General features: G+C 46.5%; 2 annotated features.

Moving 5' to 3' along the window:
- Window positions 4572–5073: an enhancer, noted in NCBI's record as "H3K4me1 hESC enhancer chr2:88811519-88812020 (GRCh37/hg19 assembly coordinates)". NCBI's record gives its function as "activates a minimal SCP1, AML or CMV promoter by ChIP-STARR-seq in naive H9 embryonic stem cells {active_cell/tissue: H9 hESC(naive)}" and the evidence as "EXISTENCE:reporter gene assay evidence [ECO:0000049][PMID:30033119]".
- Window positions 11802–13001: an enhancer, noted in NCBI's record as "MED14-independent group 3 enhancer chr2:88803591-88804790 (GRCh37/hg19 assembly coordinates)". NCBI's record gives its function as "activates an origin of replication core promoter dependent on BRD2, BRD4, P300/CBP and CDK7 cofactors, and independent of MED14, by STARR-seq in HCT116 cells {active_cell/tissue: HCT116}" and the evidence as "EXISTENCE:reporter gene assay evidence [ECO:0000049][PMID:35650434]".

Here is a 14116-nt window from a genome sequence, read left to right as displayed (position 1 = left end):
GATGATAAAAGATGAAAAACTCTGTTCCTGCCATCCAGCACTTTACACACTGGGAGGGAGAGGAAGCAGGAAGTGTCCAAAGAAAGCACATGCAGGGAAGTGCAGAAGCAGGCCAGGGTCATCTGGAGTTGAGGGAGACTGAAGAAATGGCAGAGAACAGGTAGCGATGAAATCAAGTGTTAGATGAGGAGCATCCTTCTCTTGTCCAAATTTGCTCCACCCCTGAAGCCTCCGCCACTCCCTGGCTTCTGGTGGGAACTACTTCCTAACTACTCATTCTCACCTACATCCCTTTTCTCTGAACATTTATGACACTTCAGCAGATATTTGTCACTTACTTTATGCCATGTCCATGTCTTTGTTTAGTTGTGCTTTTTTTTTTGCTTCCCCCACAAAAAAATATTTGAACTGCCTTTTTCCTCTTGACTTCCTCTGAGCCTGCTAGACCCTCCATAATGCTCTTTGACTATATAGGGGATATTTAAAAGTCAGGCTGGAAAGGCATCTGGGGCTGTGCAATGAAGACCTTCAGTGCTGGACTTACATGGGGGAGGCTAAATGCAGAGAGGAAAAAGCTTTAGAGTCAGATGATTTTGCACTTGAACTCAGCTTTACCACTTACAAACTGTGTGTCTTTGGGTAAGTTACTTATATTCTCTCTTCGGTTTCCTTCTGAAGTGGTAAAGTAGGGCTAAAAATGCCTGCCCTGCAGGAGAATAAAGTAAAACTCTGGGAAAACCCTGCCCAGCCCAATGCCTGATGTACAGTACATGCTCAATAAATGAGAGTGAGCATGGATCATGTCATTCAACAGTAACATGATGAAAGGGACCTTTCAAAAGGAACTGTGTGGGGTAAGTATGCAGCACAGACAGGAAAGAAGAGAATACAGAAGAAATGACGGCCAGGCACGGTGGCTCACGTCTATAATCCCAGTATTTTGGGAGGCTGAGGCAGGTGGATCACCTGAGGTCAGGAGTTCACGACCAGCCTGACTAATATGGTGAAACCCGGTCCCTACTAAAAATACAAAAAATTAGCTGGGCACGGTGGCATGCGCCTGTAGTCCCAGCTACTCGGGACGCCGAGACAGGAGAATTGCTTGAACCCAGGAGGCAGAGGTTGCAGTGAGCTGAGATCATAGCACTGCACTCCAGCCTGGGTAACAGAGTAAGACTCCATCTCAAAAAAGAAGAAATGACAACAGCCAGAGGCTCCTACAACTCCCCAGGCACTTGAGAATTGACTGGACATTCAGTAGTAACAGTAACAACAAGGCAATCCTCTGTGCTGGGTACGGTCCTGACAGCTTTGTGTGGATTTGATTCACTTAATCATCACCCTAGGCCGAGCGTGGTGGCTCACGCCTGTAATCCCAACACCCTCTTTGAGGTGGGTGGATCATCTGAGGTCAGGAGTTTAAGACCAGCCTGGCCAACATGGTGAAACCTCATCTCTACCAAAAATACAAAATTAGTCGGGAGTGGTGGTGCACACCTGTAATCCCAGCTACTTGGCAGGTTGAGGCAGGAGAATCGCTTGAACCCAGGAGGCGGAGGTTGCAGTGAGCTGAAATCGTGCCATTGCACTCCAGCCTAGGCAACAAGAGCCAAACTCTGTCTCAAAAAAAAAAAAAAAAAAAAATTAGCTGGGCATGGTGGTGCACACCTATAATCTCAGCTACTCCAGAGGCTGAGGCAGGAGAATTGCTTGAACGTGGGAGGCGGAGGCTGCAGTGAGCCAAGATTGTGCCACTGTGCTTCAGCCTTAAAGACAGAGCAAGACTCCATCTCAAAAAAAAAAAAAAAAAAAAAATGCCGGGCGCGGTGGCTCATGCCTGTAATCCCAGCACTTTGGGAGGCCGAGGCGGACGGATCACGAGGTCAGGAGATCGAGACCATCCTGGCTAACACAGTGAAACCCCATCTCTACCAAAAATACAAAAAATTAGCTGGGCGTGGTGGTGGGCACCTGCAGTCCTAGCTACTCGGGAGGCTGAGGCAGGAGAATGGCGGGAACCTGGGAGGCGGAGCCTGCAGTGAGCCAAGACAGCGCCACTGCACTCCAGCCTGGGCAAAAGAAAAAGACTCCATCTCAAAAAAAAAAAAAAAAAAAAAAAAATCACCCTAACTGTACAATATAGGTCCTTTTTATTCTTCCCATTTTGTAAGTGGGTTCTCCAGAGAAACAGAACCTGTATGTGTGTATGTATATACACATACACACACACACACACACATATACATATCCATACATACCTATATACATGGAGAGAGATTATAGGAATTGGCTCACATGATTATAGAGATAAGAAGTCCCACACTTTGCCATCAGTAAGCTGCAGAACCAGGTAAACTGGTGGTATAATTCAGTCTGAGTCTGAAGGCCTGAGAACCAGAAGCGCCCATGTACATAAGGGCAGGAGAAGACAGATGTTTCAGCTTGAACAGCAAGACAGCAAATTTGCCCTTTTTCTGCTTTTTTATTCTGTTTAGGTCCCCACTGGATTGGATGATACCTCCCCACATTGAGAAGGGTGTTCACCTGTACTTGGTCTACTAATTGAAATGCTAATCTCTTCTGGAAATGCCCCCAGAGACATACCCAGAAATAGTGTTTTACCAGCTATCTGGGCATCCCTTATCCCAGGCAAGTTGACACATAAAATTAGCCATCAGAGTAAATAACTTGCTCAGGTTCACACACAGTTAAGAAGTGACAGGAGCAGGATTCCAGCCTCAGCTGCCTGGAATCAGAGTTCACACTTTCAACCACAGTGTCTATGGCCTCTGCATGCGTGGTGAGAAAAAGATCTAAAGAGGGCAATCTATATGCTGGAATTTGGGGGATGGTTTTTATTTTAAACAATTTCTAAAACATTCTAATAGAAAAGTGGCTCCTGATCTGGAAGCTCTGGTGTTCTCCTACGGGGCATAAACAACTTCACAGAGCATCAACATCAGACAAGACCGTTGTGACCATGATGGATGAAGACAAAAACAAGACTCCTCCATAACCATGTCTCAACACAGACAAAACATGAACATTGTCCAAGACAGACACAAAAATAACCAAAAACTTCCCTATCCAGCCTAATGGTAACTGCTGCTTCTTTAGCCTTGACTTACTCCTCCTGCCTTATAGATAAGAACTATCAGGCCAGGCATGGTGGCTCACGCCTGTAATCCTAGCACTCTAGAAGGCCAAGGCGGGTGGATCAACTGAGGTCAGAAGTTCGAGACCAGCCTGGCCAACATGGCGAAACCCCATCTCTACTAAAAATACAAAACTTAGCCGGGCGTGGTAGCAGGTGCCTGTAATCCCAGCTATTCGGGAGGCTGAGGCAGGAGAATCGCTTGAACCCCAGGGGCAGAGATTGCAGTGAGCTGAGATTGCACCACTTCACTCCAGCTTGGGCGAAAGAACAAGACTCCATCTCAAAAAAATAAATAAATAAAAAATAAGACCACAGAGTTACATCTGCTTCCAGACAGCATATAATCCAGAGCAAAACCCGACTCTCTTAAACCCTCCCCCAAATCACCTGACACAAGCTCGAATCCTGTAATTTTTTTTTTTTTTTTTGACACAGGGTCTTACTCTGTCACCCAGGCTGAGTGCAGTGGTGCAATCACGGCTCACTACAGCCTCAACCTCCCTGGCTCAGGCAATCCTCCCACCTCAACCTACCAAGTAGCTTGGACCACAGATGTATGCCACCATGCCCAGCTAATTTTTGTATTTTCTATAGGGACACGGATTTCCCATGTTGGCCAGGCTGGTCTCTAACTCCTAGGCTCAAGCAATTCACCAGCCCCAGCTTCCCAAAGTGCTGGGGTTATAGGCATGAGCCACTGTCCCCGGCCAATTATAGATACTTTTTTTTTTTTTTGAGATGGAGTCTTGCTCTGCTGCCCAGGTTATAGTGCAGTGGCGTGATCTCGGCTCACTGCAACCTCTGCCTCCCAGGTTCAAGTGATTCTCCTGCCTCAGCCTCCCGAGCAGCTGGGATTACAGGCGCATGCCACCATACCCAGCTAATTTTTGTATTTTTAGTAGAGATGAGGTTTCACCATGTTGGCCAGGCTGGTCTTGAACTCCTGACCTCATGATCCACCCACCTTGGCCTCCCAAAGTCCTGGGATTACAGGCATGAGCCACCACACCCAGCCCAATTATAGATACTTTCTAACACCCCATTCCAAAAGCTTCCCATTGTATGTGTTTTCCCTATTTGCTACTAGAAATAAACTCAATTTGTTCAATTCCAGTTGGGTCCCTAATGATCTTTGGATGGAAGTCACTGACATCCTATTGAACATCCCAGTGTTTCAGTATCCAATCTGTTTCTCAGACTGCCTCTCCCAGTAAGAAGGAAATGTCATTCAATTCAATTGAAATCCCATAGAAAGAAGCTGATAATTGGCCAGCACGGTGGCTCACGCCTGTAATCCCAGCACTTTGGGAGGCCGAGGCGGGTGGATTGCGAGGTCAGGAGCTCGAGACCATCCTGGTTAACACGGTGAAACCCCATCTCTACTAAAAATACAAAAAATTAGCTGGACATGAGTGGCGGGTGCCTGTAGTCCCAGCTACCGGGAGGCTGAGGCAGGAGAACGGTGTGAATCCAGGAGGCGGAGCTTGCAGTGAGCCGACTTCACGCCATTGCACTCCAGCCTGGGTGACAGAGCGAGACTTTGTCTCAAAATAAAAAAGGAAAAGAAAAGAAAAAAGAAAGAAGCTGATAATCAGGCTGAATTTTTAAAACAGTTTTTGAGTCTTGTGGAAAAAACTGAAGCTTTTCAGAATAAGAAAATAAACTAAGAATTAGTCTGTCTACCAGTCACTGTGCTAGACGTGGCGACTGTTCTACCACTGGATCTTTACGCTTCTTTGATGCTGTTATGATTCTCACCCTCACTTTTAAAGAGAATGCTCTCCCCCTTTCTGCTGAGGAGCTCTAACAAACACACTGCATCGTCAAGGCTATGCTGTGGTTGGGAACTCAAAGTGTCACTGGCATCATCTTTGCCTGCTTCATTTTTGTGTTGTCAGATCTCCTCAACAGAAAGGGGAAAGCATTCTCTTTAAAAGTGAGAGTTAGGCTGGGTACGGTGGCTCACGCTTGTAATCCCAACATTTTGGGAGCCCAAGCCGGGCGGATCACTTGAGGTCAGGAGTTCGTGTCCAGCCTGGCAAACCTGGTGAAACCCCATCACTACTAAAAATACAAAATTAGCCAAGTGTGGTGGTGGGTGCCTGTAGTCCCAGCTACTCAGGAGGCTGAGGCAGGAGAATCACTTAAACTTGGGAGGTGGAGGCTGCAGTAAGCCTAGATTGCACCATTGCACTTCAGCTTGGGCAATAGAGTGAGACTGTCTCAAAAAAAAAAAAAAAAAAAAAAAAAAGGCCGGGCGCGGTGGCTCACGCCTGTAATCCCATCACTTTGGGAGGCCGAGGCAGGCGGATCACCTGAGGTCAAGAGTTCAAGACCAGCCTGGTCAACATGGTGAAACCCCATCTCTACTAAAAATACAAAAAATTAGCTGGGCGTGGTGGTGGGCACCTGTAATCCCAGCTACTCGGGAGGCTGAGGCAGGAGAATAGCTTGAACCTGAGAGGTGGAGGTTGCAGTGAGCTGACATCACACCACTGCACTCTAGCCTGGTGACACAGCAAGACTCCATCTAAAAAAAAAAAAAAAGTGAGGGTGAGAATCATAACAGCACCAAATAATTGTTGAGAAGATCCAATGGTAGAAAAGTCGTCATGTCTAGCATAGTGACTGGCAGAGAGACTGCAATTGTTTATTTTCTTGTTCAGAAAAGCTTCAATTTTTTCCACAAGACTCAAAAACCATTTTAAAACTTCAGTGGCCGGGCACAGTGGCTCACGCCTGTAATCCCAGCACTTTGGGAGGCCAAGGCGGGCGGATCACAAGGTCAGGAGATCGAGACCATCCTGGCTAACACAGTGAAACCCTGTCTCTACTAAAAATACAAAAAAAACTAGCCGGGTGTGGTAGCAGGCGCCTGTAGTCTCAGCTACTCGGGAGGCTGAGGCAGGAGAATGGCATGAACCCGGGAGGCGGAGCTTGCAGTGAGCCGAGATCGCGCCACTCCACTCCAGCCTGGGCAACAGAGCAAGTCTCAAAAAAAAAAAAAAAAAAAAAAACTTCATCCTGATTATCAGCTTCTTTCTATTCTATGACTCTGGGATCAAATGACATGACATAAATGAGACATGTTCAGTACCTTCATATCATACATTTTCCTAATAAACAAAGCTTACTATTTTAAAACTTAAAAATATTTTTTAAATTAACCTCTGTTTAAAGTAATTTTAATATCTTCATAAGTTTAGCAAAGGATTAGGCATTTCACAGAATAAAAATACACAAATGACCCATAAATACATTGTTGTAAATAAAAGGAGTGCCAATGAACATATGATGCGATTTTCCACCTATCGGAGTGCCAAGAGAACGTTTAAAATGTAATTTTCCAGTACTGACATGAGGAAATAGGCACTTGCTCATCACTATCGATATAAGTATAAACCACCATAACTTTTTTGAAGGCAATTGGAGGTACCTGCCAAAAATGTAAATGACTCTACCCTTTGACATAGCAATTACACTTTTAGGTGTTGGTCTTACATCAATGATCACTCACTTGTGCAAAGACAGGCATGACATGGTTTGTCATGGCACTGCTTGAATTAGCAAAAACCTGTGACAACCCAAATCTACACCAGCAGAAACTGATTTTAAAAATATGGGTGCATGCCAGGGAATTTATAGGCAAACAATAGGAAAAAAAGAATACGAGTGCACGCATACTATGAAATGCTAGCATGTCTTGGCCGGGCGCGGTGGCTCACGCCTGTAATCCCAGCACTTTGGGAAGCCGAGGTGGGCGGATCACGGGGTCAGGAGATCAAGACCATCCTGGCTAACACAGTGAAACTCCATCTCTATTAAAAATACAAAAAATTAGCCGGGCGTGGTGGCAGGCACCTGTAGTCCCAGCTACTCGGGAGGCTGAGGCAGGAGAATGGCGTGAACCCAGGAGACGGAGCTTGCAGTGAGCCGAGATAGTGCCACTGCAGTCCAGCCTGGGCGAAAGAGAGAGACTCCGTCTCAAAAAAAAAAAAAAAAAAAAAAAAGAAATGCTAACATGTCTTTAAAGAAAATAGATTTTCAAATGAACAGAAACAGAAGGATGTCCATGTCCATGCGAGAAACCATTTCTGTGAAAATGTCTAAAATAATTTTGGTAGCCTCGGGGATACCTGAATAAAATCCTTTGGCCCAAAGGCCTGGAAATAGAATACAAAATGACAGTCCTAGGCCAGGCACAGGGGCTCAAGCCTATAATCCTAGCACTTTGGGAGGCTGAAATGGGAGGACTGCTTAATGCCAGGAGTTTGAGACCAGCCTGAGCAACAGACATCCTGTCAAGAAAAATAGCCCTCATCCTTTGAGTGCTCCATAACTACTGATTGCTGTTGTTGATGATGACGATGGTAGTTATGATGATAATGTGATCTATGCCCAAAATAACTGGAAGAAGGATACTGTCCCTAAAAGATCTTATTCTAACAGTTTCTGCAAGATATTAACAGCTTATTTTGTCTTCTCGTACTTCTGTCAGCTTTTCTAAATTCTTTCAAATGCTTTTTGGGACATGAGTCCAGGGTCAGTGCTGGGTCGGGCCATTTAGATGTTGAAAGGGCAAGGTAATCAGTAAGTCACACCCCCGTTCTCTCCCTGTCTGACCTGGCGCGGGAGGCGTAATCTATGAGAGAATCTCCCTCATGCCATCGCACTGGAATTGAAGTGCAGAGAGGAACACCTTCCCCAGAAATCGTGTTGACAGATCGGTCAGTCACTTTGAGGTCAGCCCCCACCCTACCTCAATGCAAACCTGGCAGCAAGAGGTTGAGAAAAAGCCTGATGTTTCTGGTCACAAACACTTTCAAGGTAAGTTGATGGATCTTCAAGTGTGGTCCTTGGATTTCCAGTGCTGATTGCTAAGAATACAGAATATCAAGTCCCCACTTCATATCTTCCAAATCAGAATTTGATGAGGGAGGCTGGAGTGAGGCACAGGAATCATCATTTTAAACAAGCTCTCAAGGGAATTATTTTGTGCCCTAAAGTTTGGAAACTGAGGAAGACCTTGAAGATATTTTGCCCATGGCCGAGTCTTTCAGAATCCCATTTTGTCTGATTATATCTTTGGGTGAAGCATTTTTGCAAGCAGTCAAGTGACTATCTATTCCATTACCCTGGTTTCGAAAATAATTAGAAATAAATAAAAGTTTATTTTCACTAGGCTCCTCTGTGTATATTCCAGCAATATTAGACATAAGGCAACCCCAAAAACAATAACATTAAGAAATAAGAAAACTTCAAGACAAATTACATAGATACAAGCCATTTATCAATTCCTTTATTATATATTAAATAGCTCAAATATGTATATATATGTTTATCTTCAGTTCTCAGATATTTCCTATTTGTATTCATTTGTAATATGTAGTATTTAGAGATAAAATTTTGTTTTTCCCTACTCTTCCCAGCAAAATCTTGAGTGTAACTATCATTGGTTAAAACCATTTAACCACCTATGTGTAACAGCTTTTATATCATTTTCTTCCTTTTCTCCCTTCCTTCCTTTTGTTTGTTTTGAGACACAGTCTCACTCTGTTGCTTAGGCTGGAGTGCAATGGCGCGATCTCAGCTCACTGCAACCTCTGCCTCCGGGTTCAAATGATTCTCCCACCTCAGCCTCCCAAGTAGCTGCGATTATAGGCACACACCATCATGTCCAGCTAATTTTTGTATTTTTGTAGATACAAAATTAGCAACAGGGTTTCCCCATGTTGGCCAGGCTGGTCTTGAACTCCTGACCTCAGGTGATCCACCTGCCTCAGCCTCCCAAAGTGCTGGGATTACAGGCGTGAGCCACCGCGCCCAGCCCCTTCCTTCCTTTCTTCCAATATTTATTGAGCACCTGCTACGTACCAATCATTGGGAATTTATTAGTGAACAAAGGACAGGTTTACCTATTCATATGATGTATGTATAATATATACAATTACATAAATATAACTTCATGAAGAATTAGAAATAATGCACAAAAACCTGATCCATAGCCATTCCTAATGATGACTCTATGCAGAAAACACAGGCGTAGATTTAAACTCAGTGTTCTTTTTTTGTGTTTTTGAGATGGAGTCTCACTCTGTCACCTAGGCTGGAGTGCAGTGGCACAATCTTGGCTCACTGCAACCTCCGCCTTCCAGGTGCAAGTGATTCTCCTGCCTCAGCCTCCCGAGTAACTGGGATTACAGGCACGCGCCACCACATCCGGCTAATTTTGTATTTTTAGTAGAGACAGGGTTTCACCACGATGGACAGGCTAGTTTTGAACTCCTGACCTGAAGTGATCCACCTGCCTCAGACTCCCAAAGTGCTGGGATTACAGGTGTGAGCCACTGCGCCCAGCCTAAACTCAGTGTTCTATCGTTTGTTAGTGTGATTCCTGGGCAGGTAATTTAGATCCTCATCCCCTTTCAGAAAATGCAGATAAAAATGCCTACCTTGTAGAGTAGTTGAATGAATTAGAAACAGTACATACAAAGCACCTGGTACAGCTCAATACATTGTAGCCATCCATATCCCCCATTCCTGCCAAAACCCAACTCTATATATATATGTATGTATATGTGTATATGTGTGTGTGTATATATATATCTATATGTATCTCTCTCTCTCTCTCTATATATATATATAGGATTTATATATCCATGCCCAATTTCTCTGCTCTTTGCCCAGGCACCATCATTTCTACTGAGATGGACCCATGCAATGGGTTTCCAAATAGCTTTTCTGCCTCTGCTCAATTTTTCTAAAGGCCAAGTCCAACGTATTCATGCTGGTCAGAACCTCAGATGTGCCCTACTGCCCTAAGGATAAAGTTGAACCTCCTCACTTAGTCCGCATGGCCCTTCTAGTTCTGGTCCCTGCTCACCTCTCAGTCACCCCTCTTTTCTCCCACTCACAGCATCACATTCAAATCACACCCTCAGACATGCTAAGCCGTCTCTTGGCTCTCGGCCTTTAGACACTTCCTCCTCTTCATCTGGCTAGCAAACTCCTCACCATCTGGTCACTTCTTCCAGGAAGCTCTCCTTGATGCCCACTAGAGCATGCTAGGTGCCTTTGTGGTACTCCTGAGGCACCTGGACTTCCTCCGTCAGTCACATGCTTATCACATGTCCTGGTGGCTGGCTGTTTATTTGTACACAGCCTCTGGGGTCAGTTCGCGGGAGTTCAACTTCCAGCCTTGACACTTAGCGACAAAGCCTTAAATAAGTTACTTTACATTGGGCCTCAGTTTTCTCAATTGGTGTAGACAATAATAGTACCTACTTCACAGGTTTGTGGTGAGAATTAAATGAGAACATGCATGTAAATTGATTAGCGCTGTGACCTGGCACCTATTAAGAATTCAATAAAGAATGCAATAAACTATGATATTTGCCTTAATCACTAAGGATAGGGGCTATGATTGCCTCCCCAATATCCATTCCATCCTTCCACCATTGAATTTGGGTAAAATAACCTTCCCCACCAGCTCCACAAATGGGATCTGATTAGTTCAAGAGTAAACTACAGCGTGCATTAGAATCACCTGGAGGGCTTGCTGAGCACAGGTTGCTGAGCCCTCCCCCTCCAGAGTTGCTGATTCCACTTCTGATCCCAAGGATTTGCACTTCTAGCAAATTCCCAGGGGATGCTGATACTGCTGGCCGGGAGGCCACACTTAAGAGTAGCACTGGTCTAAACCAATCAGGATATCTTACTTCCTTTGCCTTATAATTGAGTCAGGGATGAGCTTGGATCTGTGGATTCAATCACGTGGATGTATGATTGCAGGAGAATGCCCCCTCCCACCTCCCCAGTGTAAAGCAAGCAGCTGCAGATACTGCTGGTAACCATCCTGAAACCATGAACAAAAAAGAAGTCAACCCTAGGCTGGAACTGACACACAGAAGAGAGAAGGCCCAAGAGAATCACAAAGAAACCAAGTAGGAGCCTGGCTGAATGGTGCTGGAAGCCCCAAATGCCTTGGGAATTACTGGAAATAATATGTTCCTTTTATTGTTTAAGTCAGTTTGAGTTTTCTGTTACTTGCAACCAAAATATTCCTGATACATTATTACCAGCTCTGTGAGGGTAAGAAATGCATTTGGCCCTCCGATGTTCCATGCTAGATCTGAGTCTGGCACACAAAGTGGATGCTCAACAAACATATTTTGGCCAGACATGGTGGCTCACACCCATAATCTCAGAGCTTTGGGAAGCCAAATTGGGAGAATCATATGAGCCCAAGAGTTCAAGACCAGTCTGGGCAACATAGCAAGAGCCCCATCTCTACAAAAAATACAAAAATTATCCGGGTGTGGTGGCACGTATTTGTAGTCCTAGCTACTCGGGAGGCAGAGGTAGGAGGATCAATTGAGCCCAGGAGTTCAAGGTTGCAGCCAGCTATGATCCCATTACTGCACTCCGGCCTGGGCAACAGAGCGAGACCCTGTCAATCAATCAATCAATTTCAATCCACACAGGGATATCTACTCTCTTACAAAGCACCTGGTAACAGCCTTAGTCAGGGGGTGAGGGAGCAGTCTCAAAGCTGGTCCAATCCTTTCCTGGTCTCTGTCCTGCATCACACTCTACCTCTCCTGTTAGAATGTGTCTGGCCTGTTTCAGGCCCTGAGTTGCCCCATCTTAGGCTACCTTCTTCCAAATACTCCAAGTTTACTTCTAGTATTGAGTCTTGACCATCTGATTTCCCTCACAAGTTTCACTTTCCTTCAATAAGCTTTGCAAAGTGAGTCTGCCTTCTTTAATGTTTAATGGATGAGAGCATGTATTCTGTAATACTCCATCCTTCACCTAGACTGGGCACACTCTGTTGGGGCTATCAAATTTATTTCCCTGCCATCATAATCAGCTGTTTGTGCATGGTAGTGATAGCCTGAGCAGTTAAACCCTCTAGAGGGGGACGTCCCTTGCATTCGTTTCCCCCAGGAGTGGGAAGCCGTTGCTGCCAGAACAAATTACCACTAAGTGACTTAAGGTAACAGAAAATGCATTCACTTACAATTCCGTAGGCTAGAAGACCAACATCTATGTATCAGCAACGGCATGCTCCCTCTGAAGGCTCTTGGGGAGACTCCCTTGTCTCTTCCTCGCCCCTTTCAGCTTCTGGCATCCTCAGATGTTCTTTGGCTTGTGGCAGCATGACTTCAATCTCTACCCACTTCAGTCTTCTCATGGCTGTCTTCTCTGTGAGCCCTTTTCCAACTGTCTCCTACTTTTTCAATACATTTTTTTCCCCCAAGACACGGTCTTGCTTTGTCACCCAGGCTGGAGTACAATAGCACGATCATGGCTCACTTCACCCTTGACCTCTTCGGCTCAAGCAATCCTCCCACCTCTTGAGTAGCTGGGACCGCAGGCATGCACCAACATGCCCAGCTAATTTTTTGTTGTTGTATTTTTTTGTAGAGACGGGGTTTCACCATGTAGCCCAGCTGGTCTCAAACTCCAGGGCTCAAGCAATCCTCCTGCCTTGGCCTCTCCAAGTGTTGGTGGGTCCGGAATCGGTAGCTTCTTGGTCTCACTAACATCAAGAACCAAGCCGCGGACCCTCGCAGCGAGTATTACAGTTCTTAAAGGCAGCGTGTCCGGAGTTTGTTCCTTCTGATGTTCAGACGTGTTGAGAGTTTCTTCCTTCTGGTGGGTTCTTGGTCTCGCTGGCTCAGGAGTTAAGCTGTAGACCTTCGAGGTGAGTGTTACAGCTCCTAAGGCGGGGCGTAAGGAGTTGTTCCTTTCTCCCGGTGGGTTCACGGTCTCGCTGGCTTCAGAAATAAAGCTGCAGACCTTCACAGTGAGTGTTACAACTCATAAAAGCAGTGTGGGTTTAAAGGCCGAGCAGCTGCAACATTTATTGCAAAGAGCAAAAGAACTACCCCTCCACACCGTGGAAAAGAACCCGAGCAGCTTACCGCTGCTAGCTCCGCAGCCTGCTTTTATGCTCTTATCTGGCCCCACCCACATGCTGCTGATTGGTCCACTTTACAGAGAGCCGATTGGTCTGTTTTACAGAGAGCTGATTGGTCCATTTTGACAGGGGGCTGATTGGTGCGTTTAAATCCCTGAGATAGACACAAAAGTTCTCCACCTCCCCACTAGATTAGCTAGATACAGAGTGTCTGTTGGTGTATTTACAATCCCTTAGCTAGACATAAAGGTTCTCTAAGTCCCCACCAGAGTAACTAGACACAGAGTGCCGATTGGTGTATTCACAAACCCTGAGCTAGACACAGGGTGCTGATTGGTGTGTTTACAAACCTTGAGCTAGATACAGAGTGCTGATTGGTGTATTTACGATCCCTTAGCTAGACATAAATATTCTCCAAGTCCCCACCAGACTCAGGAGCCCAGCTGGCTTCACCCCGCGGATCCCACACCAGGGCCCTAGGTGGAGCTGCCTGCCGGTCCCCGCTGTGCGCCTGCACTCTTCAGCGGTTGGGTGGTCGATGGGACCGGGCGCCCTGGAGCAGGGGGCGGCGCTCGTCGTGGAGGCTCGGGCGGCGCAGGAGCCCACGGCGGAGAGGGGAGGCTCAGGCATGGTGGGCTGCAGTTCCCAAGCCCTGCCCGGCGGGGAGGCAGCTAAGGCTCCGCGAGAAGTTGAGCACAGCAGCTGCTGGCCCAGGTGCTAAGCCCCTCACTTCCCCGGGCCGGAGGGGCCGGCCGGCCGCTCCGAGTGCGGGGCCCGCCGAGCCCACGCCCACCCAGAACTCGCGCTGGCCCGCAAGCGCGGCGCGCAGCCCCGGTTCCGGCCCGCGCCTCTCCCTCCACACCTCCCCGCAAGCTGAGGGAGCCGGCTCCCACAGTGCAGCGGCGGGCTGAAGGGCTCCTCAAGCGCGGCCAGAGTGAGCGCCAAGGCCGAGGAGGCGCCGAGAGCGAGCGAGGGCTGCCAGCATGCTGTCACCTCTCATTGGGATTACAGACGTGAGCCACCACAGCTAACCC

This window comes from Homo sapiens, chromosome 2 (genome assembly GCF_000001405.40).
Source record: "Homo sapiens chromosome 2, GRCh38.p14 Primary Assembly".
NCBI classification, from domain to species: domain Eukaryota; kingdom Metazoa; phylum Chordata; class Mammalia; order Primates; family Hominidae; genus Homo; species Homo sapiens.
The sequence above is the reverse complement of the archived record's forward strand: the minus strand, read 5'-3'. Positions and strand labels throughout refer to the sequence as shown.